This window comes from Homo sapiens, chromosome 11 (genome assembly GCF_000001405.40).
Source record: "Homo sapiens chromosome 11, GRCh38.p14 Primary Assembly".
NCBI classification, from domain to species: domain Eukaryota; kingdom Metazoa; phylum Chordata; class Mammalia; order Primates; family Hominidae; genus Homo; species Homo sapiens.
The window spans coordinates 119,728,099-119,752,811 of NC_000011.10; the positions used below are offsets into that span (position 1 = coordinate 119,728,099).

The 24,713-nt window shown below is 52.3% G+C and overlaps 1 protein-coding gene and 1 long non-coding RNA gene across 4 annotated transcripts in view, besides 6 other annotated features; one reads left to right on the plus strand and one right to left on the minus strand.

The window, feature by feature from the left end:
- Window positions 1–1,102, minus strand: part of NECTIN1 (nectin cell adhesion molecule 1) — a 91,103-nt gene extending 90,001 nt beyond the window's left edge. For all 3 annotated transcript variants that reach the window (NM_203285.2, NM_002855.5, NM_203286.2), the window contains exon 1: window positions 377–1,102. In NM_203285.2, the coding sequence (NP_976030.1) occupies window positions 377–455 (79 nt within the window). In that variant the 5' untranslated portion in view covers window positions 456–1,102. The remainder of the gene's footprint in view (window positions 1–376) is intronic.
- Window positions 426–1,287: an enhancer, noted in NCBI's record as "H3K27ac-H3K4me1 hESC enhancer chr11:119599234-119600095 (GRCh37/hg19 assembly coordinates)". NCBI's record gives its function as "activates a minimal SCP1, AML or CMV promoter by ChIP-STARR-seq in primed H9 embryonic stem cells {active_cell/tissue: H9 hESC(primed)}" and the evidence as "EXISTENCE:reporter gene assay evidence [ECO:0000049][PMID:30033119]".
- Window positions 426–2,148: a biological region, named in NCBI's record as "H3K27ac-H3K4me1 hESC enhancers GRCh37_chr11:119599234-119600095 and GRCh37_chr11:119600096-119600956".
- Window positions 698–1,017: a silencer, noted in NCBI's record as "silent region_3983". NCBI's record gives its function as "represses an Ori minimal core promoter by ATAC-STARR-seq in GM12878 lymphoblastoid cells {active_cell/tissue: GM12878}" and the evidence as "EXISTENCE:reporter gene assay evidence [ECO:0000049][PMID:35858748]".
- Window positions 1,078–1,487: a silencer, noted in NCBI's record as "silent region_3984". NCBI's record gives its function as "represses an Ori minimal core promoter by ATAC-STARR-seq in GM12878 lymphoblastoid cells {active_cell/tissue: GM12878}" and the evidence as "EXISTENCE:reporter gene assay evidence [ECO:0000049][PMID:35858748]".
- Window positions 1,288–2,148: an enhancer, noted in NCBI's record as "H3K27ac-H3K4me1 hESC enhancer chr11:119600096-119600956 (GRCh37/hg19 assembly coordinates)". NCBI's record gives its function as "activates a minimal SCP1, AML or CMV promoter by ChIP-STARR-seq in primed H9 embryonic stem cells {active_cell/tissue: H9 hESC(primed)}" and the evidence as "EXISTENCE:reporter gene assay evidence [ECO:0000049][PMID:30033119]".
- Window positions 1,485–11,525, plus strand: NECTIN1-DT (NECTIN1 divergent transcript). The gene is made up of 4 exons (NR_120587.1): window positions 1,485–1,708; window positions 5,559–5,652; window positions 8,709–8,820; window positions 11,433–11,525. It is a non-coding gene; the product is annotated as an NECTIN1 divergent transcript (long non-coding RNA).
- Window positions 19,690–20,190: an enhancer, noted in NCBI's record as "H3K4me1 hESC enhancer chr11:119618498-119618998 (GRCh37/hg19 assembly coordinates)". NCBI's record gives its function as "activates a minimal SCP1, AML or CMV promoter by ChIP-STARR-seq in naive H9 embryonic stem cells {active_cell/tissue: H9 hESC(naive)}" and the evidence as "EXISTENCE:reporter gene assay evidence [ECO:0000049][PMID:30033119]".

The window sequence follows — 24,713 nt, forward strand, 5'->3', positions numbered from 1 at the left end:
ACCCCAAGACGGTGATTACGGTGATTATTTTGCATTTATGTAACACGCAGTGTTTCCAAACTGCTTCCCGAGCAGAGAGCTGGTTATTAAATAAACAGAACGCTATTACATATTATTATTTTTTGTAAAGAACTGAGCGGAGAAAGTGCTTTCATGCTACATAGAGACGTGCATCTGACTGCTTCCCTGCAGGGCAGGCGGTTCGGCTTCTCAACCTCTTTCTCCGCCGTGCCACCTCCCACCCCCTTTACCCAAGCCGTGACCCAACTTTTCTGGCTCCTTTCACTCCCCACAATCCAGTCGTGCCCGCCATCCGGCTCCCAGCCCCGGGGAGGCATTGGATGGGGGTGGGGACAGCAGAGGTGAGCGCTCTTACCTGGGAGGAAGAATGCGGTCAAGCCGAGAGCGAGTCCCCACCAGCGTCCAGCGGCGCCCGCAAGCCCCATCCGAGCCATCGGGGGCCGGGGGTCCGGCGAGAGGGGCGGCGAGGGCAGCGCTCCTCGCGCAGCAGAAACCAGCCCGGAAGATGAGGGAAGATCGCTGGCGGTCGGCGGGCGCTCGAAGGATCCAGGTCAGCTGCAGCCGTCGGCCGGGGCGGGGTGGGCTGGGTGGGATCCGCGCGGCCGCAGTCCGGGCCCCGGGCCGCCGCCGGCTCAGAGGCTCGGCAGATGCCCGCCGCAAGTTGCACGAGTCATGCCCCTTCGCCTCCTCCGCTCTCCTCCCGGCGCCGGTCCCCGCCCTCTTCTTCCACGCAGAGCGGGGCTGGGGAGAGGGACCCACCCCCGGCGCGCCCGGCTGCCCGGTTGCGCGGCGCGGGCTCCTGGCCCCGGCCCGCTCACACCCTCCCGCTCGGCTCCAACTTGCAGGCGTCCATGGCCGGCCGTCCTCCGAGGGTGGCGGGACGCACCCGGGCGGCGCAGAAGGCTCGGGGCCCAGGCGGCGGGCGCGGGGCTCGGCGGTCGGCGGCCCGGGTGGCTCTGGCTGCGCGGCCGGGCGCGAGGAGAACGGGTCGGAGGCGCCGCGCGTCCCAGCCGCCGCCGCTCTGCCGGGTGCCGGCGATCCGCAACAATGTGGAGCCGCGCTCGCTGCTCTCGCTCTCTTTCTCTCACTCGCCGAGCTCCAGCCTCTCACCCGCTCGCCCGTGATGTCAGCCAGAGGGGAGGGGTTAGCGTTAACCCCCTCCTGGCCTCGATGCGCGCCCGCCGGGGCCCGGTCGGAGCCCGAGCGCACGCGCCTTCCCGACCGAAGCAGAGGCGGATCGCGAGCGCGGGCTGCGGGGTCCGGCTCAGGACCCTCGCTCGGGAGCTACCCCTCGGCCGCCTTCCAGCTGGGGAGCCGGCTGGAGCGCGGGCTGCCCTCCTCCTCCGCTGACAAAGGCAGGCAGTGACCCCTAGCGGCCGGCGGCGCCGAGGCGCGGCGGGTGGGGGTGGAGTTAGGACCGGGCCGGGGGCGGCGGTGGAGGAGAGGGCGGGATGGAGAATCCCGGCTAGCAGCGTGGGAGCTGGCAGGGCTTCTGCAAGCCCTCTGCTCCCACCCTGGCCCCATTTCACAGACGAGGAAACAAAGGCCCAAAGAAGAGTTCCGCCCGGGACGGAACGTGGCATAGCTCGCAACAGAACCCAGTCTCCGGAGATCCCTCTCCTCTGCACCACTTGGACGTTCCACGGAGAGGCAGCGGTGCGCGGGGCGACGGGGAGCTGCCAGAGAAGTCAGTGGTGGGCATGAGTGGGTGAGACGGGCCCACTGAGGTTTCTGGTAGAGTTTCTTTTCTAATCCCTGCTCCCTTCGGGGGTTCCTTTTCCAAAAATTGAAGCACCCCGCGCCCCGCCCTTGCCCAAACATAGCCTGAAAACGAGCTCTCCTCCAGTTTCCAGGACCTTAGTTTTGAGAGATTTGTGGGATTCCCGCGAAAGTGGATCGTCCAGTCAGTGTCCCTGGCAGGGCAGGGACTCTCCGCCCCATCCCGTTCACCACCCACTACATCCGGGTGTGGTAGGATTTCTGCCAAGGCGACTGCGCCCTCCGGGCCTTCCCTCTTCCCCTTACTCTGGTCCTCCTATCCCCATCCCCTCCCCCTGGGGGAGGAAGACAGACAGAGTTTCCCACTAAGGAGAGCCGAATTCTCCCCAGACCCTGGCCGGACACTGCTCCCTCTACCCTTTGCCCAGCCCTCTAGGCGGGCAGGAGCAGAGGGGAAGTGGCTGTTTCTGATAACACGTAAATTCTGGTTCCTCACTGGAGAAGGGGCAAAGACAGCGCCATATTCCCACTGTCTGGAATCCGGCCCTGGAGTGTCTCGGTTTCTCGCGGAAGTAGTCAGATCTGGCATTGTCATGAACACTCACCCACTCACTGTATGGTCTTTTACATTTAACAAATGTAACCTGGGCTTTCTTTGTGTCAAAACACAGTGCCTGGCTTGGGGATACAGAGACATCATCATTGTCCTGAAGGAACTCAATCTAGTTGAAGGGTGGGGGAAGACAGACATAGAAACGGATGTCGTAAACAAATATTTAATATGGGATTGTGTGGGTTTGGTGGGTCACAGAAAAAGTGCCCAGTTTAGCCCGGGGTGGGGTTGGTGTAAAGGCTTCAGGGAAGCGAACACAGGGTCTCGGTGAGTCATCTATCAGACCAAGGTAAGTGCTGGAGGGCAGAGACATAAAAGAGACTGGATTTAAGGTAGAGGGTCAGCACGAGCAAAGGAATGAAGGTAAGCAATAGTCAGGTGAGTAGGGGGCCCACAAAGGGTTGACTGGTTTAGCCTGAGCCTAAGACTTGAGGAAAGGAGAGGTCTGCAGATTCGTGAATCATGCCCGGTAGCTGCTAGGAGGGTTTTAAACTGGGGAACACGCTATCAGATTTAGTTTGTGGCAGCTGGGAATCTCCCATCTGGCTGCTGAGTGCTTTAAGGGCCAGGGTTGAATTGAATTCATTGTGATGGCCTTTAGCTCTGTGCCAGGCACACTGCAGGAGCTGAAGGCATGGTTTGAAGGGGCAATCCCAGATGTACCAATGTCTTCTTGTTCCCTGCTCTTACCCTCCCATCCTCTCCATCTTTATTTTATTTTATTTTATTTTATTTTATTTATTTTATTTTATTTTATTTTATTTTAATTTAATTTAATTTTATTTTATTTTATTTCATTGAGACAGAGTCTTGCTCTGTTGCCCAGGCTGGAGTGCAGTGGCGCCATCTCACCTCACTGCAACCTCTGTCTCCCAGGTTCAAGTGTTTCTCCTGTCTCAGCCTCCCGAGTAGCTGGAATTACAGGTGTGTGCCACCACGCCCGGCTAATTTTTGTATTTTTAGTAGAGACGGGGTTTCTCCATGTTGGCCAGGCTGGTCTGGAACTCCTGACCTCAGGTGACCTGCCCTCCTTGGTGTCCCAAAGTGCTGGGATTACAGGCATGAGCCACTGTACCCGGCTGCACTCTCTCCATCTTTAGGTCAGGCTTCTTTGATCCTCTGATCTTAAATGAGCTTCCAAAGAGGGTGCGGCCAGCAGGGAAGATGTGGCTGCCTGGGGATTGGTTGGGTGGAGAAGATGGAAGCAAGTAAGTGATATAGTATGGTTGTTCACTCATCATCTTTAAACAAGCAGGGAAGGTTGCTGGGGGAGGGGACATTTAACTGAGACCCTGAAGGACAGATCAGATTTGGACCAAAAGAGGCAGGAGAGAGACTCCTAAGTGGAAGGAACAGCTTGTACAAGAACATGGAGGTGCGTGGAGGTGGGAGAGGTGCCACCTGTGTTAGGACAGTAGGCATTCCAGTTTGTTTTGCGTTTTAGAGATGTATAAGAGAAAGGGACAGGTAGGCGCAAACAGAAGGCAAAAGGACCAGAAGGTTTCCTTTAGTGACAGGGAAGAAACACAGGATCAAGCAGCAGGAAAGCAGGCTTTGGTTCCTGCTCTTAAGCTGTGAGCCCAGGAGTCACTCTTGCTTCTTACCTCTTCCTGAACCACCATGTTCCAATTTTGTTGATTCTGCCCCTGAGATATATATATATATATATATCCTTTATATATATATATATAGTCTAGTGACATTGATATGCCCCTGATATGCCCCTGAGATATATATATATATCCTTTATATATATATATCCTTTATATATATATATTCTTTATATATATATATATAAAGTCTAGTGACATTGCTCCATTTCTCCTGTTATTAATCTAGTCCATGCACTCATGATTTCTACCTGGTCTTTACAATACTTTCTGACAGTATAGCCAGTCTGCACTGAGATGGGGAGTAAAATGTAACAGTCCAGCACATGGAACTCTGGAGAGCTAATCTGCCTGGATTGGAATTCTTAAACTCCAGCTCTGACACCCAATAGCTATGTGTCCTTGGGCAAGTGACTTAACTTCTCTGTGCTCAGGTACCTTCTCTGTAAAACAGGGAGAAATAAGAGCACCTACCTCTTGAAGTTGTGAGGATTAAATGAGCCTTGAGCCAAACATGTGAAGTGCATGGAACAATGCCTGGTGTACAGTAAAAACTGTCTAAGTATTAGTCATCATTATTATTGTCATCTGTCTCTCCACATCCAGTTTTCCCCTTCCTGAAAATGGTTTATATATATTTTACAAGCTTTATTTTGAAATAATTTTGGATTTGCAATAGAGTTGTGAAAATGGTACAGAGTTTTCATATGCCCTTCATTCATCTTCCCTGAATGTTAACATCTTATAGAACCATGGTACATCTATCAAAACTAAGAAATTAGTGTTAGTATAATACTATTAACTGAACTACAGAATTTATTCAGATTTCCCCAGGTTTTTTCCCACTAATGTCTATTTTTTGTTCCACAATTTAATCCAGGATACAACATTACATTTAGTAGTGGATTATTTTCAAATGCAGATGGTCAAGTTGCAATGCCCAGGAACAATTTCTTGGCCTGCCAGACTCTTAGACCAGTGTCAAGTCCTCAACAAGGCCTAAGGGGCCCATGCCTGCTTCTGCAGCCTCATCTCACCCTGCTCTGAGGCTTCAAGGAGGAGCCACTGGGATTTCCAATCATCCCCTGCTATAGACTTTGCATACTTGGGACCACTTTCGTGATGGTTTATAGTGCCTGATTCACTCCCCATTAGACTGTCAGCTCCTCCAGGGCAGGGATCATGTTGCTGTTGTTCTCTGCTATATCTCTGGCACCTAGAACATGCCTGGTACCTGATAGGCTTGTAATGAAAATGTGTTGATTAACTCACATCCTGTGCCACTTTCTGCCAATCACTTCCCCTCTCTGGACCTCAGTTTTCTCATCTGCAGACTGAGGAGTTTAATTTGTTCACTGGTTTTCCAGTTGTGTTTTGGAAACCCTAGAATTTCCTGGGCTCAACAGGAGCCACATTTAAAGAGCATGTGTTTTCATGTGCTTGAAAATTGGGCTTTTGAGAAAGATATCTCTTAATGGATTTTGAAGATTCTGCTGCTTAAAAAGGTTTGAAAACGTGACAGATTATTGTATATTATGAATTACATATAGTTGCATGATTTTACAACTCCATTATTTATTTATTTATTTTTGCAGGCAGTGGGGAGCCATGGAAAGTTTCTGAACAGAGAAGCACTTATTGGGAACTGTCAGAGCTATGCTTCAGGAGATGAATCTGGCAACAACGTGGGTAGGATGGACAGATGATGATTGGTCAGTGAAGGAGGAGGGGAGTGAGGAGAGAGGGTTGTCATGGAAGCCAAGTGAGAAGAGGATTTAATAGAGGAGGTGGAGGAGGTTGCTAACAGTGTCTGATGCTGCAGAAAGCAGGTGGGGATCAGAAGGGGTCTTTGGAAGCAGTGGCAAAACCACCAGTGACCTTTGAGAGAGGGATGTTGGTGACTAGGCAGGGGCTGAACCCAGATCAAAGTGGGAGGAGGAGCAACTGGAAGGTGAAAAAGCAGAGGCAGCAGGTATCCTCTCTGCTTTTGAGAAGTTTGGTGGCGGACGGAATGAGCAAGGTGGATGAGAAGCTCGGAGAGGGTTAGCAAGACAGACCAAGAGGCTTATTTTCTCCTTTTTCATCGGAAATCAAAAGCTACTGAGCATCTTGTAGTCAGAAGGAAAAGAGCTAGTGGACAGTGAGGGAGTGGAGAAGCAAGTGTAAGAAGTGAAATAGGGTGTCATTTATGGAGCAAGTCCTGGGTTGGGGGGCACTGAGGGTGGGAAGGGGTCAGCCTTGGAAAGGAGAAGACCCATCTTTCTCTGAGCCTGGAGGGAAGGTGAAGAGAGTAGTGAAGGTGGAAGTTTTGGGGTGGAGTAGTGAAGGGGGAAGTTTATAATAAGGTCATTGCAGTACAGTGGGAGCTGAAGTTATCTGCAGAGAGAGGTTGGAAAGCGGCTTCAGACTTCACAATTGAGAAGGCCAAAGGGAGTGTTAAGTGGGGTATGACTACCAAGCTTCCAAAATCTATAGGGAGAAAGGAGCAAGCATCATCTGTGTGTCTTCATAGGGAAAAGTCAGGACCAATGGTCATATTTTTGGGGGAGGTAGATTTCAGTTTAATCTAGGCAAGACTGTTGAGGGATCTTAGTTGACCGACAATGGATTGACCTCCCAGTCACTTTTCAGACTCAGGCTGCAAGCCCGTTCATCAGGCATGCTGTGCATGGGCTTCTTGCCCTGGCATGGAGCATGGATGCAATGAGTTCCATGTTCCCTCCTGGCCCTGAGACTTGATAACTGCAGGAATGACAGCCCACTTGAAGAGCAGGCAGTTGGGCTCACCTTTCTCACCCACCTCAGGACTGGAGGCATGAGGTGGGGAGACTAGACGAGATCAGCCCTGGGGAACGTACCATCCCTAGGAAACTCTCCTCTGAGCCCTCCCTTGACTTCCACAGGTTCTTTCAGAGAGGCAGCTGTTGGGCTTGGAAAAGGCCCAAAGTCAATACAGTAATGACTTCCCCTCCTGGTCATATCCCAGGCCCCTCTGTGTCATTCAGAAATTGGCTAATAAAGTTCACTTTGATGTGAGAGGAGCCCTATTAAGAATTCCCCAAGATTCCCCAATCCCCTGAAATCTGTCAATAGGAGAAGATATGTTGGAGTGGCATGCTGGATGGGGGTCACCCCCTTTTGTGTCCCCAGTCCTTACCCTGGTGTCAGTTGAGGCTGAGAGCAAGGGGAGAGGAAAGGAGGAGGAATCCCATGAAGAAAGTATGGCTGAAGCCTTAGCCAACCCCAAAGAGGACCCAGCTGGCATGGCTACCCTCTTGCCCTAACCTGAGGCCAACCTCACCTCAGGCAGTGCTCCCAGGGTAGATGGGAAGCCACAGCACCTAATTACTATGGTCATCACGCTGGTGGCTGTGGTGATTATGATGGTGCCTCTGTATCCCACAGCGCTTAGCAACATTTAATTACTGTTATTCCTATGGAGATCACTGCAGAGTCTTGGCTGCCATTGCTCTTGGGGATGGAGCAACTACACACAGCTGCACCCACTCCCCAGTCCAATGATCCACTGTGTTGAAGTGCTGCCAGGATGGTTAACAGACACCAGCCTCTCCCTTGTGGGCCATGGTGTCCCAGCGATCTGCATGGCTTTTGGGGCTGAGCTCTGAGAGGTGATAGGAAGGCCCAAGTTCCATCTTGAACCATCTAACTCTCCAGAAAGAAGGGAAATTGTTCTATGCCTTGTGTCTGGTCAGAAGGCCCTCAGTATACTTCTGTGAATCATGACGTCCCAAATCCTAAAGAATTCTGGTTGTGAGTAGAGGCGGCACTCCTGATTAGGGATGGGAGCACTTAAAACTCAACGGTGATACTGAGAAGAGGGTTTCATCCAGGATCCGCATAGACCGGAGAGCTTAGGTCATGAAGATGGGAAGGGACGGAGTGGAGCTTCTGTGTGGAGCATGCCTTATGTAGAAAGATGAAAGGGAAAAGGGCTTTGAGAAAGGAAGATACTCAACCTCCCACCCACACTTTCCTCCCTTTGATGATGCTCTTATATCCAGGGATGGGTGTTATGGTCAGGATAATTATCAGGATGGACTACTTGTCTAGAGGAACCAGATTTTTCTTGCAAGTTATGTGAAAACCAAGAAATAGAAGGTATTGTTAGGGAAGAGCAGAGTTCCTGGATCAGCCCAACCCCAGCAGAAAAAGCTCATGGTTGATGCCTGCCTGGGAGTGGGGAGGTAAGGCTCGGGCTGTGGAGCTGTGGGTCTTGACTCTTTGGTCTCAGACCTTTTCGGGATCTGATGAGCGCTGTGTCCCTGAAAACTGCACATACGCACAAGGACAGTGTTTGCATGGCAACCTGCTGAAGCCCAGCTGGGGCCTTGAGTTAGGAATCCCTGCTGAAGAAGGAGTGCTTTGGGAAGGAGGCAGCCCTGAGCCCAGACTCCCTGTGATCTGGGCTAATGACTGATGCTAATGACATGGAGAACCCCAAATGAGGAAAGTCCAACCCAGACCCTTCTATAATATGAAGTGAAAAGAACAAGTATTATCCATAGACTGCATTATAATTCTGTAAAAATATACACTTATAAAGAGAAAAATGTGAAGGTGACATGGAGAAATGAAAATAATTTGTGGGTGAAGAGTTTTTATTTTATTTAAAATTTACTTTAATATCATTATGAGGCTACTTTAATAATAGATTTAATTTTATTTCTCTATTATGTAAAGTGCTTTTCCTGAAGAAATGAGCTTTCAAATTATATTTGATTTAGGTTAATATTAATGCCCTGTACATCCTGAGTACATGTTTCCAGAAAGAGGTGATCCAGGAGGCTGCCAAGTGGCCTGCAGGTGACATCCAGAGGGCAGAAAATGCCCATGCAGGTAACTGAATTCTGAGGAACATGAGACCACATGCTACCAAGGAGGCAGCCAAGGGAGAGGATGCTGTGTTCTGGAGTTAGGTTTGAGTCCTGGACCTGCCATTTACTAACCGTGAAACCTGGAGTTTACCTGGGGCTGAGGAGGGGGTGGTTCCCAGGACACGGGACTTTCAGTGCTAAAATTGGGAAGGTCCTAGGCAAAGTGGGACAAGTTGGTCACCCTATTAATAAGCTATTAATACCTCTGTCAGCCTCAGTCTCCTCACTTGTAAGATGACACTGACGACTCCCAGGATCTTTGTAAAGGCATTTTGTATGCCATCTTCATACCTGTTGGGGATGATGATTATCATTGGTGGGGTGGGATGGAGGAAGAGAGTGGGGAAAGGGGTGCTTCTCCCCAGCCTTGAGATCTGAGAGACCAAGAGCCTGTCTGGATGGGTATCATGATTTGTATATGGAGAGCTTAAGACAACTGGTCTCTCACAACTGGCTTTTAACAATAATTCGTTCAAGAAATGTGTATGGACCACCTACAATCAGATCTGTGCTAGGCATTTGGATATTCCGTGAATGGCTGCAACATGCTGTCTTCCTTCCTGGGACCAAAGTCTAATGGGGGAGGCAAGGATCCATAAGGAAGTGGACAGCAGGGAAAGCTAGGGACTTCAGGAATGTCAGGTGTGCAGGGACCCTTCCCTAGTCTAGGGGGTCAGGAAGGGTCAGGGCATGTTCCTGCAGAGATGAGTAGAGCTCCCTTGAGGGATGAGGACTGGCTGGCCAGGGATGTCATGTTGTAGAGAAATCAGGCACAGGAGAAGACAGCAAGAAGGCCCAGAGGCTGGGTGCTCCGAAGGACTGAGAGTAGTTCATTCAGTCTGGCTGGTGCGGTGCAAGAGGTGAGTGTTAGAGAGGGGCCTGGGGAGTCACGTGCCCATGTCATGAGGGCCTTTGTGCTGCATTATGGAGTTTGGACTTCATCCTGAGGGTCACAGGGAGCCGTGCATGGTAGGGCTGTAGCCCAGCAAGCGTGTTTTATACCTGGCCACTCAGCAGCCCCAACCCGTATTGTGCTCAGATGGCATTCCTGGTCCAGGCTCTGGTTTGCCTGTTAGGCCCAGGTCCTCTGGGCTCTGTCTGTCTTGCTCTAAGGCTCTGAGCCTAGCCCATCTGTGGAGCACTTCTGCAGCTCCAAACCTGGTGTAGTCAATCTGGACATTCCCCTGGCAGGGGTCTGCTGCCTGGCACAGACTGTGACTCCAGAGAGCAGAGTGGCACTCCCTCCCAAGCATGCTGCTGTCACCACAGTGTGTCTGTGTGGGTTTGATGGCTGCGTGGCAATGGCGCTCAGGGCATGCCGGGGGCTCACACAGCCCAGGCAGCTGATGATTAACAAACAATTATACTAATCGGCCTAGGAACAGGAAGGCAGGTGTGCACCCCTATGCATGTGAATGCACACACATGCATGCGCACACACATTCAGATTCACTGACATTTATGCCCATCCTTTCATTGAAACTCAGGCGAGCACATGGAGAGATTCCCTGCTACCTGGATGAGATGAATAGGCATTGTATTAGTTTACATGCCATTACCTTCATCAGAGACATGCCCTTTCACCACTGACACATGGATGTCACAAATGCTGTATACACAGCCTCACATAGATGCCCGCACACCTACACTGGCCCAGACCCCTTCTCATGCCTTTACAAACACATTACAAGAATTAAAAAGGAGCATCCATATCAAGTGTCTAGCACAATGCCTGGCCCATAGGACCATTATATTCTATTTTAATATGCTATTATTATATTAAGACACTTTAATATGTGCACATGTACTGATACACTCATAGATGCACACACATTGCCCCATACATTCTTTTAAACCCAGGTGCACACACAAGAGCTCGACTCTTCCGCAAACTGACACATACACTTCCGTGTACACAAACAAGCTCACTCTCAAAGACGTGCAGGTTGCCATAATGTGTTTTCCCATTTGCACCTACACACAATCACCACCGCAATAATAATAATAGCAAAACCAGGGTGGATGATTGCTTCATATTTTTCAAAGGGCTTTCAGGCCTGTAATCTCATTTGATCCTCGCAGCAGCCCTGTGAGACGGGTGGGTGGAGCAGGCATTATTACCCCAGGTTTATGGTTGAAGAAACAGAAGCTAGAGGGGTGAAGTTCGCCATCTGGGAGGCGGCCTGAAACTCAGATCTGACTTCTTGGTAGTGAGCTTCCCATGCCTATTTGACAACTTCCAGCCCTCACTACAGAAAGCAGCAGCCAGGGCAGGGGCCTGCTAGATTCTTGATTCCTGGTCAAAACATTTCCCTGAGTCAACCCCAGCTGAGAAGTGGGAATTGGAGGCTGATAAAGGGAAACCGCCATCATTAGAAATCCCATAAATTCTCATTTACAACTCCCTGCCAGATGAAAGGAGCAATTGACTGCGTTGGAGGGAAAAGCAAATACCGATTTCCTTTAGGACTGCCCAGCCTCAGACAGCTGGTCCTGGAAGGTCCTGAGGGTGGGGGGATCCTGTTCCATCAGGGCTGTCCTCAACTCTGTGCACTTTCTCTCCCCTCTGTCTAGGTCCACGTGTGGGTCCTTAAGCCCCTTGAGGAAAAGGGAGGAGAAAAGGACAAAGAAGGCTCTCCCTTTCCCTTGGATCCCCTTCTACTCCCACATGCCTAGTGGGAGCCTCCCTCTTCTGCTTGAGCCTTCAGGACAGGTTCAGGACCCTGTCTCCTACCTGGCTGGGCCAGAAATGAGGAACATGTTGCAAGCCTTCCTCCACCTGACTTGCCAAGTCCATACAGGCTGGGGCCTTAGATCCAACAACTTAGAAAGGTAATGAGGGCAGCTTCCTTCAAAGGGCCATGTTCAGTGGGGAGGTTGCCTGATGATGAATGGAGAAGTGGAGTGATGGCCCCTTAATCTACTTCTGATGCTGCTGCTTCACTCTGGTTTCATCATTATTTTGTGGCTTAGTTTCTCTATCTGCAAAATGGGAATAGTAACACCAAACTTATAGTGCTACTGTGAGGTGTGTAAAGTCCACGGCACAATGCCTGGTACAATGCTGGGCCCCACAGGGTCAGGCCCTGTTGCCTGCCTGGGCAGCTTCTGGAGGAATGCCTCGGCTGCCAGGGCTGGAGGGGTGGTGTGGCAAGAGATGCCTCCCCAGCCTCCTGGGTGTGCCAGCTCTGGCTGGGAGGGAGGGGCAGGGAGGGGACATCTGTTTGACACTCTTATCAGCATCCATTACCTGGTGTGTATTTTCCCAGGAGCTGATTACATTACAGCATGTGTTGATAAACATTTGGAGTCGGAGTACAGAGGAAACTGAGCAGAATGTTAAGCGGGTGGTGCTTTGGTCAGGAGATGCAGAGAAAGGGCTGGCTGTGATGAGCTGGGAGTGGTGATGAGGGCCCCAATCTGGAGGCTTCTTCACCTGCCCAGCCCCTTTCTCTTTCTGATCTCCCTCCACCCTACTGCTCTGGCCCTAGCAGGGCATCCAGACGTGGTCCTAGAGGCAGGCTGTTATAGCAGAAGAGGTATGGGACTTGGGCCTGAGGCGGTTATGGGGTCCAGTCCCAGCTCTGTCATAAACTGGCTCTTGGCACTCTGGGCCAGTCTCTTACTTCCCTGGGCCTCAATGTCCTGCTCTGTAAAGTAGGCTTAACATCCGCTCCACAGGGTGGACCGAAGATTAAAGGAGTAACCATGCACCATGCCCCGCACATAGAATTAAGCGCTTTGTCTCCAGGCTCTTTTCCTGTGGTCCCCAGTTTACCCCCGAAAAATGGTCAGTCTTGCCTTGACTGTGCCTCAGATGTTAGACTACTGCTTTTATTTCAATTTTGAACTAAGAGGAAGTGATTTATGTTCTTCATAAGGCAAACACCCCTACTTCCAACCCTAGTTAGGGCTGGAGCAGGTAACCCAGGGCGAGGGTTGACTCTTCTCCCCTTTTTCTACACCTGTGCACGTGCAAGACAGCTGTAGCTAGGGAATTATTTGTGTAGTTATCTGCCTGATGTCTTTCCCCCACTAGTCCATAAACTCCCTGAGGACAGGTCACAATTGAGTGTCTGAAGTCCAGCCCAGGGCCTGGCACTGGCGGGAATGAATGACTCTCCCCCATCTGATTGGTCTGGCGCAGAATGGTCAAGATAACCCATCTCGGGGTTCTGTGCTGTCGAATTCCACGGTTGTTTCTGAACTTAGCGCACCGGGTATACCTCTCGCTTGGCCTTTGCCATAGATGACCTTGGATTCACTTTTCCTGTGGGGTATCTCTCTAGTCTCTCTGAGGTTTGGGCATTTAGACCTTCAAGAGAAGGATGTGCACCTGTCCCTCTGTCCGACTGTCCAATTTAGTGGGCATGGACAAATGCACGAATGAATGAGACTGCGGGAATGCTGCCCCCACCTCCTCTCCGCCTCCCCACCTCGCCTCCAGGTACCCTGGGCGCCTGGGACCCTGCGGGGCCTCCTGGAGGCGGGACGGGCACGGCGCCACCTAGCGGTCGTGGGCCGCGGAGAGAGCGTCCCTGTCCTTCCCCGTGTGGGACCTGCAACCGCCCCATAGCGCAGAGTCCGGGAGGCTCCAGCCACCGCCTCTGTCGGCCCCATTCTCTAGGTCCACAGAGGGTAGAGACACTCGGGGGAACGTACTTTTACTGGGGTACGGGGAGCCCTGCCCCACGGCTGTCAGCTCGGGTCGGGCGCGCCGGGTGCCCAGGAGGCAGCCTCCCACCCTCCCCCGCACACGTCGTTCCAGTCCCTCCGCCACAAAGAGACCATTGATTGGGAAGAGCGGCCGGGTTGTGGTAGGAAGGCTGGTGGGGACACGCACGCACACACACGCGCGCACACAGAGGCATACACACACACAGAGGCACACACGCACACACAGAGGCACACGCACACACAGGCACACACACACAGAGGCACACACAGGCACACACACACAGAGGCACACACACACACAGAGGCACACACAGGCATACACACACAGAGGCATACAGGCACACACACCCAGAGGCACACACATGCGCACACACAGAGGTGCACACACCCAGAAGCACAAGCACACATATACAGAGGCACACACACACAGAGGCACACACACGCACAGAGGCACACACAGAGGCGCACACACACACACAGAGGCACACACAGGCACACGCGCACACACACACAGAGGCACACACACATGCACACGCGCACACACACACAGAGGCACACACAGGCACACGCGCACACACAGGTACACACAGAGGTACACGCACACATATACAGAGGCACGCGCACACGCACATGCACACACAGAGGCACACACAGGTACACCCCGCCTCCTGCCGCGCCTGACACTCCGCAGGGCCCGGGGGTGGGTGGGCAGGGGTGCGAGGGGGCGTGGGGCTGGGCGCGCCGGCCTGGGGGGAAAGCCCCGCCTCCCGGATGTCGTCTCTTCGCCCCCTACTAGCTCTTGTCTCCTCCCCAACCCCTCGCCCCACCCCCTGCCTAATTTTTGCCAGTGGATCATCGGCCTTTGGATGAATCCGCAGCAAATGGCTCATTCGGGGCGGGCCCGCCTCCCCATCCCCCCAGTGTGCGGTCTCCTCTCCCCAGCAAAGATGTTCGGTGGCACTTACGGCCCCTTTTTAACACCAGGCGAAGCCAATATTGTTAGGAAGGAAGAACTGCTGTGGCAGCTGCTGCAAAGACAAATCATATGCAGTAATGCATCACGGGCTGAGGGAGGGTCTGAGTGTGCGGCAGGGCAGCGCGGGCTTATCAGCGCGGAATGGCTAATGGGGGCGCGGCTCCCAGCGGAAGGAGGGCTGGAAACTGTGCGCGGTGCGGCGAGGAGAGGAGAAGGCCAGGGCAGGAGAGTTTAGGCAGCAAGGATTTTCGCAATCTCTCTTCTTATCCTACCCCTAAAAGGAAGCTGCTTGGACCTGAAGGTGGAGCTGAATTTGAGCCTTTGCTGGAGGTGGGGTGCCCGGCCCTTCTACAAACGCCTGCTTGATTCCCTCCGTGATGGGCAAAGGCCTTCCCTCCCACAACACCTGAATTCTGGGCACCCTGATCTTTGGAGGCCAGGACTTTCCTAGGTTCCCTATCAGTCCACGCACATCAGAAGTAGAACGAACACCCTACTATCTAACCCGTTCCTGGCTCCTGCCCCCAGCCCTGCCTCGTAGCTGGCCTGTGGTGGGTGGGGTGTGGCTGGCAGTTGGTACCCGTTAAAAGAGAGCTAGGAGTGATATCTACTTGGTACCTCCCTCAAAGCTCCCGCTCGCCACCTGGATGCCTGTATGCACACAGGAATTGGCTGGGGGCCGGGGAGAGCATGGGTGGGGGTGCTGGTTTGCTTGGTTTATAACACTTCTTCTTGCTCCTCAATGCCAGGGCAGAGAGTGTGCCCCTGTACATGCATCCTTATTTGTGGGCAAGGCTCCGTCCATGCAGGTGCCTGGAGATGTGGGTTTACTCACACATTCCCAGGCTCTCAGGGTTGGAAGGGACTTTGGAAGAGGCCTTCCCCCTCCTCCCTCACCTGTTCTGCCATATCCATGCCAAATGCTCATCTGGATTCTGCTTGATCACTCCCAGTGACTGGAAGCTCACTTCTTCCCCAGGCAGCCCATCTCTGCTGACTGCTGGAATACTGAGCTGGAAACTGTGCCAGCAACCTGGACAATTCCCCACCCCCTATCCCATCTGCATGAAAACGGGACCAGGACAAGATGCCAAAAACACAGCACCCTAAGATAGTTACAGCTCATGCTTACAGAATACCTCCTTAGCCAGGCACTGTACTAAGTGCTTTACGTATCTTGACTCTCATAATCTTCATGAAACTCTATGAGGTCATGTTTGTTGTTATCCCCATTGTGTTGAAAAGAAAACCGAGGCACAGAGAAGTTAAGACACTTGTCTGAAGTCCCACAGCGAGGAGGTGGCAACGCCTGTTATACAATCAGGAAGCCTGGCTCTGCCTGAGTTTAATCACCACATTATATTGCAGGCACTGCCGAGAGAGAGAGAGAGAGAGAGAGAGAGAGAGCGAGAGAGAGAGAGAGAGAGAGAGAGAGAGAGAGAGAGAGAGAGAGAGAGAGAGAGAGAGAGAGAGAGAGAGAGAGAGAGAGAGAGAGAGAGAGAGAGAGAGAGAGAGAAAGACACAGAGAGAGCAAGTAAGAATGCTCAGGCATGAGTGTGTATCTTCACCACCATTTCTGGGAAGCAGAGCTCACTGGTGTTAGAGGCAACTGGGAAGACTGGATATGAAATTAAGACATCAGGAATTGCCTTTCTTCTTCCTCCTCCCCACCTTTTCCTTCCCCTCCCATCCCCTTTCTTCTTCATCACCACTGCCCTCACCTTCATCTGAATTAAAAGCCATCTTCTCAGCACTAGTGTGTTCAGGGGTTCCTTGCAAGCTGGAAACTCCATCTGGGTGCTTCCAGGCCAAGCAGATACATTGGCCTAGACAGACATACGGGCCATACTCACAATGAAGTAGCATGAGATTAATGTGGTTGGTAGATGGGTAATAAATAGGGAAGATCTGTATTTACATTCCACACCAGCCAAGGGTTAGGTGGTACACGGTTCAGAAAGTTTTATGTTCAATTTTATGTCTAGACAGAGCTTGAGATGAGGTTATCATTTCTCTTCTAATTAGTGCAAGAAGGCTTCCCCAGGCGCTGCTTTCATGGGTTCTGCTGTCTTGGCTTTGCCATTTGTTCCCAAGAGTGAGACATAGGTGGAGTGGGGAGAGGGAATGAGCACTGGATTGGGAGTCATTATACCTGGATCTTCAACCTTGACTGTGCCACCAGCTTGCCATGATACCATGGATAAATTAGCCCACTCTCCTGGGTCTCCATGGCTGGGCTGTCTATCAAGGCCCTTCAGTGGGTGCACTCCCTGAGTCTGTCAAACGGGGCTGCTGTGTGCAGGTGGCTAGGTTGTGCACTGTGCAGGGACACCTGGCCAAGAAAGAGTTGGGGGCTGAAATCCAGCCTATGCTTTTCTCATCAGGCCTGCATCCACCTGGAGAAAGAGGCATCTTTTCTAATTTGCACAAAGTTATCACAGGGACTAGCAGTGGTCCTATGATTAGAGTTGGAGTTGAGGTGGAGATGGGAAGGGGAGTTTCTTTAGCAGAAAGTGAGATTGTGAGTTCGGGGATGGAGGATAAGGGCTATGGAGGGAGGATCAGGGAGAAGTGCTGTGGTTGGTGAACGTGGAGGTGGGGCAGAGAGCAGTGGGAATGTGTCAAGGGAGGTTGGTGGTGAGAAGGGCGGGTTCATGCTGACAGTGGCCCCTTTAGCTGCGTTCAGGGTACCCCTGGGAGTGGTGGTTCTCCTGCCCCCCAGCCTTGCTCACTCCTGTGGTGTAAGCAGTGGCCTCTTTGGAGTGGCTCCTTCTGCCAAGTTCCCCTCTTGGGAGAAATGGCAAGGGGTTAGGTTTTCTCCAGGGCCCTCTCTGAGAGGCTGCAGGCTCTGTAGTGGGTGTTGCCTTACTACCGTGGGCCTACTAGAGAGGCATGGACCCTGCCCTCAGGGAACTTGCCATCGAAGGGAGCTTTTGTGCACAGGTCTAATGCCAGTGGCCCTTGTCTCCTGGGGCAGGGTCTGTGGGTATTGCAGACAGTCTGGTTTCTGTGTTGGGCTCAGTCTGGTCTGAGGCGAAGGCTCTTACCCTAGGACCAAGGACTATGAGGAGTCACAAAACTGGGCCTCGCTGGCCCTTCAGAGGTAGAAGATCTGTTGGGGACAGATTTCTGAGGACCCCCAGTAGCCAGGGAGGATGTGGGAGCCACTGAGGAGGAAAACTCGGGACGAAAGGCTTCTGCAAGGATGAAGGGGAGGTGGGCAGGCTGGAGGTTCTGTGGGAGCAAAGCCTCCCTTTCCCTTGGTCGGGGGGTGGCAGAGTGAGGGGACTGTAGGAGTGGGCATTGGGAGGGGCTTGCTCTGTGTGGGGGACCCACAACCCATCAAGGACTGGACCTCTGGAGACCGTTTTGTCTGCCTGGCCCCACTGCCAGCCCGCCGCTGTTCAGAAGCAGCCCTTCCCATTCTCTTGGATCTTCTGAGGAATCCCACGTTCCTTCTGTCTGACTCGAAGTCCTTCCTACTGTAGGCCTTGCTCATCCCCCCATAGTCCAGCTGGCACAACGTTTGGATGGCAAACCATTTAAATGGCCAAGCCTGCCCCGGCCACTCTGTCTCCTTGGTAGTCCCAGTTGTGTGAGGATGGGGTAGGGTGCAATTAAGCCCTGGGGCTGTCCTCTCTGCACTGACAGCTGTAGGAATGTCATCATGCCTATGCCAGGTACTCCCACTGCTTTCTTCCAGGGTGCCCACACTCCTGTTCTTTAGAAGAAAGGGACGGCAGGAGTCTGATCATCTGTCCGATGCCCACACAGTGGCTGTGCTGAGTGACGTGTTGTTTTGAGGATGTCCCTACCCCCTGGTCTTGCCGTCGGTCTCCAGTACCCAGCGAAGCAAGCTGTGGGCTCTGAGGAGCTCACACCAGGGAGGAGCTGCCCTGGAGTGGAGCAACAGCATGTCCTCTCCCCTGTGTGACTGCAGTGCTATAATAATAATAACAGAAAGCTGGCATTTCTTGAGCTCTTACTGTGTGCCAGAGACACCGCTCTAAGTGCTTACACATATGTATTCGTTTTCTGTAGTTGCTGTAACAAATTATCACAAACTTTAAACATTGAACTTATGGCATAAAGCAACACAAATGTATTATCGTGTAGCTCTGTGGTAGGTTAGGAGTCTGACACAAGTCTCACTGGGCTAACAATCCAGATGTTGGGGCCAGGCGCGGTGGCTCACGCCTGTAATCCCAGCACTTTGAGAGGCCAAGGGTGGGGGGGGGGGGGGGTGGATCACAAGGTCAGGAGTTCGAGACCAGCCTGGCCAACATCGTGAAACCCCATCTCTACTAAAAATACAAAACATTAGCCGGGTGTGGTGGTGGGCACCTGTAATTCCAGCTACTTGGGAGGCTGAGGCAGGAGAATCGCTTGAACGCAGGAGGGGAGGCGGAGGTTGCAGTGAGCCAAGATTGTGCCATTGCACTCCGGCCTGGGCGACAAGAGTGAAACTCTGTCTCAAAAACAAAAACAAACAAACAAAGATCCAGATGTTGGAAGGGCTGTGTTCCTTTCAGGAGGCTCCAGGGGTGATTTCACTTCCTTGCCTTTTCTGATTTCTGGAGGCCACCATCTTCCTTGGTTTGTGACTCCCCTCCCCACTCCATTTTCAAAGCCAGCAAATAATGCATCTCTCTCTCAGATGCTTCTTCTGTTATCACCTGTCTCTCTAACCCAGCCAGGATGGGGTCTTTGTTTTAAGGACTCATATGATTAGGTCGGGGATACCTAGAGCATCCAGGATCCTCTCTCCATATCAAGGGTCATTCTCTAAACACATCCACAAAGTCCCTTAGCCACGCAGGGCAACGTATTCACAGGTCCCAGGGATTAGGGTGCTGACAGCTTTGAGGTCCATTATTCTGCCTACCACAACATACTTGAAGTTTTTCACACAAAAGATGGATGTAAGGTGGGTAATGTTATTACCCCCATTTTAAAGATAAAGACACTGAGGCACCGAGAAGCTAAGCAACTTGCCCAAGTTTACTTTGACAGCAGCATATTCAGGATTCAGATAGAGGCAGCCTGACTCCACAGTTGTACCTCAGTCACTGTCACAAGGAAATGTCCAAATTTCACATGGTATAAGGCCAAGTCCCCTGTAGGTCAGCGGAGCAGTGGAGGATCATGTATTTATTGAGCACCTACTATGTGCCAGGCCCTAGGAGGGGCTCCCAGAGGTACATGACAGAGCTCCAACCTGAACCCAGGTCCCAAGCGCATCATCTGTCCTCATTCTATTATTGTGTGAAAGGCCGCGGGACCCTCCTGCAAAGGTGAAACGGGAGAAAGGACGGAGCTTCAGTGGGGGCTTGTGGCCCAGGGTTCTGGATTGGGCCCAGGAAGAGGAGGAGAGAGGTGGGTGCCCTATACCTTGCAGGACCCAGCCGGGCCAAGTCAGAGCCTGCAGGGGCTGACTCAACAGGCTGACTGTGCCTGCCCGTCCATCACAATGGGGAATGGGCCCTCCATGAGCCTGAGACCTGCAAATCATAGAAATTAAGAGCAATTAGAGAGGGAACCGGCAGCCCCTGGCAGCACTTCCGGCCACAGAGGCAGTTCGGCAACTTTATGGGATGTTTCCTCCCATTTTGTGGTCCAGCTGGGAGGCAGAAACAAGCCAGCTCAGCACAAGGCCTCCTCAAGGTGCTTTAGTGCAACTTGAAGGTGGGACCCACAGCCCCTCCACAACCTGCCTCCCGCCCTGCCTTCCCATCCTGGGGCCCTGTCCCAGCCTCGCCCTGAGGGTTTCTTTTTGTCTGTGCATCGGCTCTGTCCTCTGCACTAGACCTCTGGAGAGCTGTGTCTGGGGACCTGCAAGAGAAAGAGAAACAGTCAGGGTCACCTTGACGGGCTGTGGCACGTGCTGCCTCCGCTCCTGTGTTCTCTCCCTCTGCTCTACCTCACCTGGCCCAGCTGGAGGGGTCTTTCCACTTCCTGGCCAGGGGCAGCTCTTGAACAAACCTTCCTCTTATTCCCCTTGCCCCCTAGGGAAGAGGTGGCTCAGCTTGTGGAAAGCATGCAGGCCAAAGTGGTGGAGACCCCATGGGTTTCAGGTGGCGGCACCAGGATGGTGCCATTGGCTAAAGGCAAAAGCTAGAGGAATTCTCTAGTTTCCCAAGTACTTTGCTGCCTTTAATCCTTGCCTCTTGCCTGTGTCCTTCACCCCATGCCCTTTCCTAAGCTGTGGTGAGAAGGACAGAGAAGGGCCTGTGCTCCTGGGAGAGGGACTGGCTCTGAGAAGGGCAGAGGTGTCTCTGGAGTAGGTGGAGGTGGGAGAGGAAGTGGGGTATCTGGGACAAGGAAGAGTCGTGGTCTGTATCCTTCTCTGGGTGGAAGCTATGATATTGCAAGGGCACCCTTTGCCCCCCTCTGGGGCCCGTTTTTTTAGGATAGGCCCACTGTGCTGGGTCAAGGTCACCTGGAGAGAGAGACCCGAGTGGAGGGGCTCCTCTGCTGCTCTCCACCACCCTTCCTGAGGCCTCTGAGCTGGCCATGAGCTGACCCTTCTCCTTCACCTCTTCCATCACTGTGGGTGGGGCAGCCTTGGACTCGGCCATACCTGACTCCACAGCCGAGGGGTGTCTCTTGATGGGGGCAATAGGGCTGGGTGAAGAAGAGATACGGAGTGGGACAAGGCAGTGCCCTGCCCTCACTAGTGTGGGCAAACTGAAGGGGGAGGGAAGGGCAGACTCCAAGGGCAACCTAGACCCCTGCATCCTTGGAGACAGATGGGTCAGAGAGGCAGCCTGTGGAGCAGCAGGCGCCACCAGGGGTGCAGGGTTGCAGGGTTGCTCCACCACAGCCTCAAGTCTGTCCCGTCCTCCCCCTGGGCCTCTGACTGAGGGCTGCTAAGGCCGTTCCCAGCGCCACCATTCTCTGACTCTCCTCATGGTGACTCTGCCTTATGCCCCATCTAACTGGCCTTGGGCAGGTGGCTTAGCCTCTCCGTGCCTCAGTTTCCTCACCTGTAAAATGAGAATAACAATAGCATCTACCTCATAGGTTTATTATGAGGATTAAATGATTTAAATATATAAAGTTTATAGGCTGATACCTGTCATGTAGAAAGTGCTATAGAAGGATTGTCTATTATTATAGTCACTCATGTTATTTCAAAGATCATAATCAAGCAGACCTGGGTTGGAGTGCTAGCTGTTCTACTTAAAAGCTCTGTGACCTTGGGAAAGTGGCTTATCTTTTCTGAGTCTGTTTCCTCACCTGTAAAATAGGTATAATAATAATAATCACAACAGTGACTGCATGAAGTTGTGGTGATAGAATGAGACACCTGGAAACATTTGCTGAGCAAACAGTAAAGCACCTCGGACAATCCATTGCTTCATCTTCCTGGCTTGGGATCAGATTGAGGACAGTCTCTACGGAAGGTAGTAGGACTCCTGAGGGGGAGCTGGGACCTTCAAGGTGGCCAAATTTTGCCAGGAAATCCCACAGGAAGAGTGCCTGTTCTTGACTGGACAATGTGAGGACTCGAAGCAGGAATCCTGGTTCTGTTCCCAGGCCACCTTGGGACCCAGAAGTGGGGTGGTGGCAGGTGGCAGGTAGCATGTTAGGAACGTTGGTGCTGCCTGGGCTTCTCACACTGAGGGTGTGAGCAGACACATGCTGTGGCCAGGCCTGTGAAGGGCACAGGCTGGGCTTTGTCCCCACTGGGTGCCTGCTGACGCTGATGGCACCCTCAGGATAGTCAGACATGGCAGGGACATGCGTCACCCCCAAGAGCTCCTCTCTGACCTGCAAATCTCAGTTAGTGCCCTACAGGTCCTCAGGGCGCTGCGTCCTTGGTCTTTGTAGCTCTCGTCACGTTATATACGGACATTTTTACAGGATTAGTGAAAGTTTGTCTCTCCCATGAAACTGTAAGCTCCATGAGAGCAGAGGCTGCATCTGGATGGCTCATTATGGGATCTGGAGCCTGGAACCGACCCTGACATATGTGCTCAATAATTTCTTGATGACCGAGTATGTGACAATAGCAGCTAGCACAAGCTTAGTTTTTATTACATGTCAGCCATTATTCTAAGCACTGGACATACACATATACACCTCGCAATACTCCTGTGAGGCAGCTATTGATAGTTGCTATTTTACAGATGAGGAAACTGAGCTACAGAGAGGTTAAGTAAATTGCCCAAGGCAACACAGCCATTAGTTGGTGGAGCTGGGATTCAAGCCAGACAGTTTGGCTCCAGAGTCCATGCTTTTAGCTGTTGTGCTCTACTACCTCCTTAGAGGAATGAAGGAATGAATGAAACACTTTATTTATTTATTTATTTTGAGATGGAGTCTCACTCTGTCACCCAGGCTGGAGTGCAGTGGTGCAATCTCGGCTTACTGCAACTTCCACCTCCTGAGTTTAAGTGATCCTCCTGCCTCAGCCTCCTGAGTAACCGGGATTACAGGTGCATGCCACCACACCTGGCTAATTTTTGTATTTTTAGTAGAGCCAGGGTTTCATCATGTTGGCCAGGCTGGTCTTGAACTCCTGACCTCAAGTGATCCACCCGCCTCAGCCTCCCAAAGTGCTGGGATTACAGGCGTGAGCCACTGCACCCAGCCCACATTACATATTTATAATGTATGCCGCTTTTGACAAATGAGTTTTGGGGAGGAGTGAATGGTGCAGCTCCTCTGCATTAGATCACATGGTGCTGATGAGCAGGACACCCCTGGCTCCTGATCATCTGCACAGGGAAAGGAAGCCCATGAAGAGCCCTTTGGAGAAAGCCTCCTTCCCATTCCCGTCTCCTCCCCAGTCAGGTGCTGAGGAGTATGGGCTGACTGTGCCCTCAGATATGTCTAACTTGGGGGTGGTTCTTGGCTCCCTCTTTTTGGAATTAAGGAAGTGCAAGGAGACCGGGCATGAGCACACCAACCCCTGAATTCCCTTCCTGACCTCTGCCTCCTCCCAGGCCTCCTGTGTCCCTGGAGGCGCTGCTGATGGGGCAGGGGTTTCTTGGTCACTGCGGGAGGAGACTGAGGAGGTGAGTCTACTCATCTGGTCCCTGATTCCTGTCATATCGGCCCCCAGCGGTGCCTGCTTCCTGCCTGCTTCCTTCTCTGCATCCCCCTCCACATTTCTCTTCCTAGCTGCTTGATTCCTGGACCTTCAGGATTTCAAGAAGATGCCGCTACCTGGGAAGCCCCTGGGACTTTTTAACAGAAACTTACCCGATTGGAGCATGACTTAAAGAGACCAGAAAGGGAAGTACCTACTTTATGGTTGGCACAATGCCAGGGGCTTCACATTCGTTAACTCATTAGCTCATTTGATCCTCACAAGAACCCTATTCTTCTTCTTCATTAACAGAAGAAATGGGGGCTTGAGAAGGCCTAAGCAACTTGCTCAAGGTCGTGTGGTATAAGAGGCAGAGGTGAACTTTGATATCAGGATTGTAGGACTCAAGGTCTGTACTGGATCCGCTGTTTGGAGACAGAAACAGGTGAGGTGGGGTTGGGGTCTAGGGTTGGAGCTGTACCAACTGGGATGCCATCCATTGTCCCCAAAGCAGAGATTATTGTCCTAGGGCTGGGACTGTCATATTCTGGTGACATTAACTCCTGGGGAGGAAGAAGGAAACTCCCTAGCAGAGGGGCAGGGTGGCAAGCCTGGGAGGCAAGGGCAGGAGAGGACCTGGGTAGTAGCTGGGGGTAGGGGGGCTGTTAGAAAAGATCCCAGGAAAGGGACAGTGGGGAAGCCTGGCCCCAGAAGTGTGGGAGCATGCTTTTGGGGGTGTCCAGTCCTGTGGGCTGTTGAATGCAAGGGTGCCCATGGTCTTCTTGCCCTCCAGATTACTGGGGCATGCACCCACACTGCACACATGCACAGACATGCTCCGTTGTCCTCTGTCATAGCCTGTCATCACAGACAAAAACAGGCCTGCACCGGGCTCACTCTTACAGCCCTTCACCGCCTGGTGCTCCCCTTGGCTCTTCTGTTCCCAGCCTTATCCACATCCAGTCTCTGTGTGTGTGTGTGTGTGTGTGTATTTGTGTGTGTGTGTGTGTATGTGTGTGCGTGTGTGTCTCTTCTTCCTAAGCCTGCATAATTTTCTACTGTCTGTTGGCCTCTCTTAGGTTTGCACAAACACATGTACATAGTCTGATAACTCTGTTGTGTGTCACACACACACGCCCAGGCATACACATGCACACACAACCCT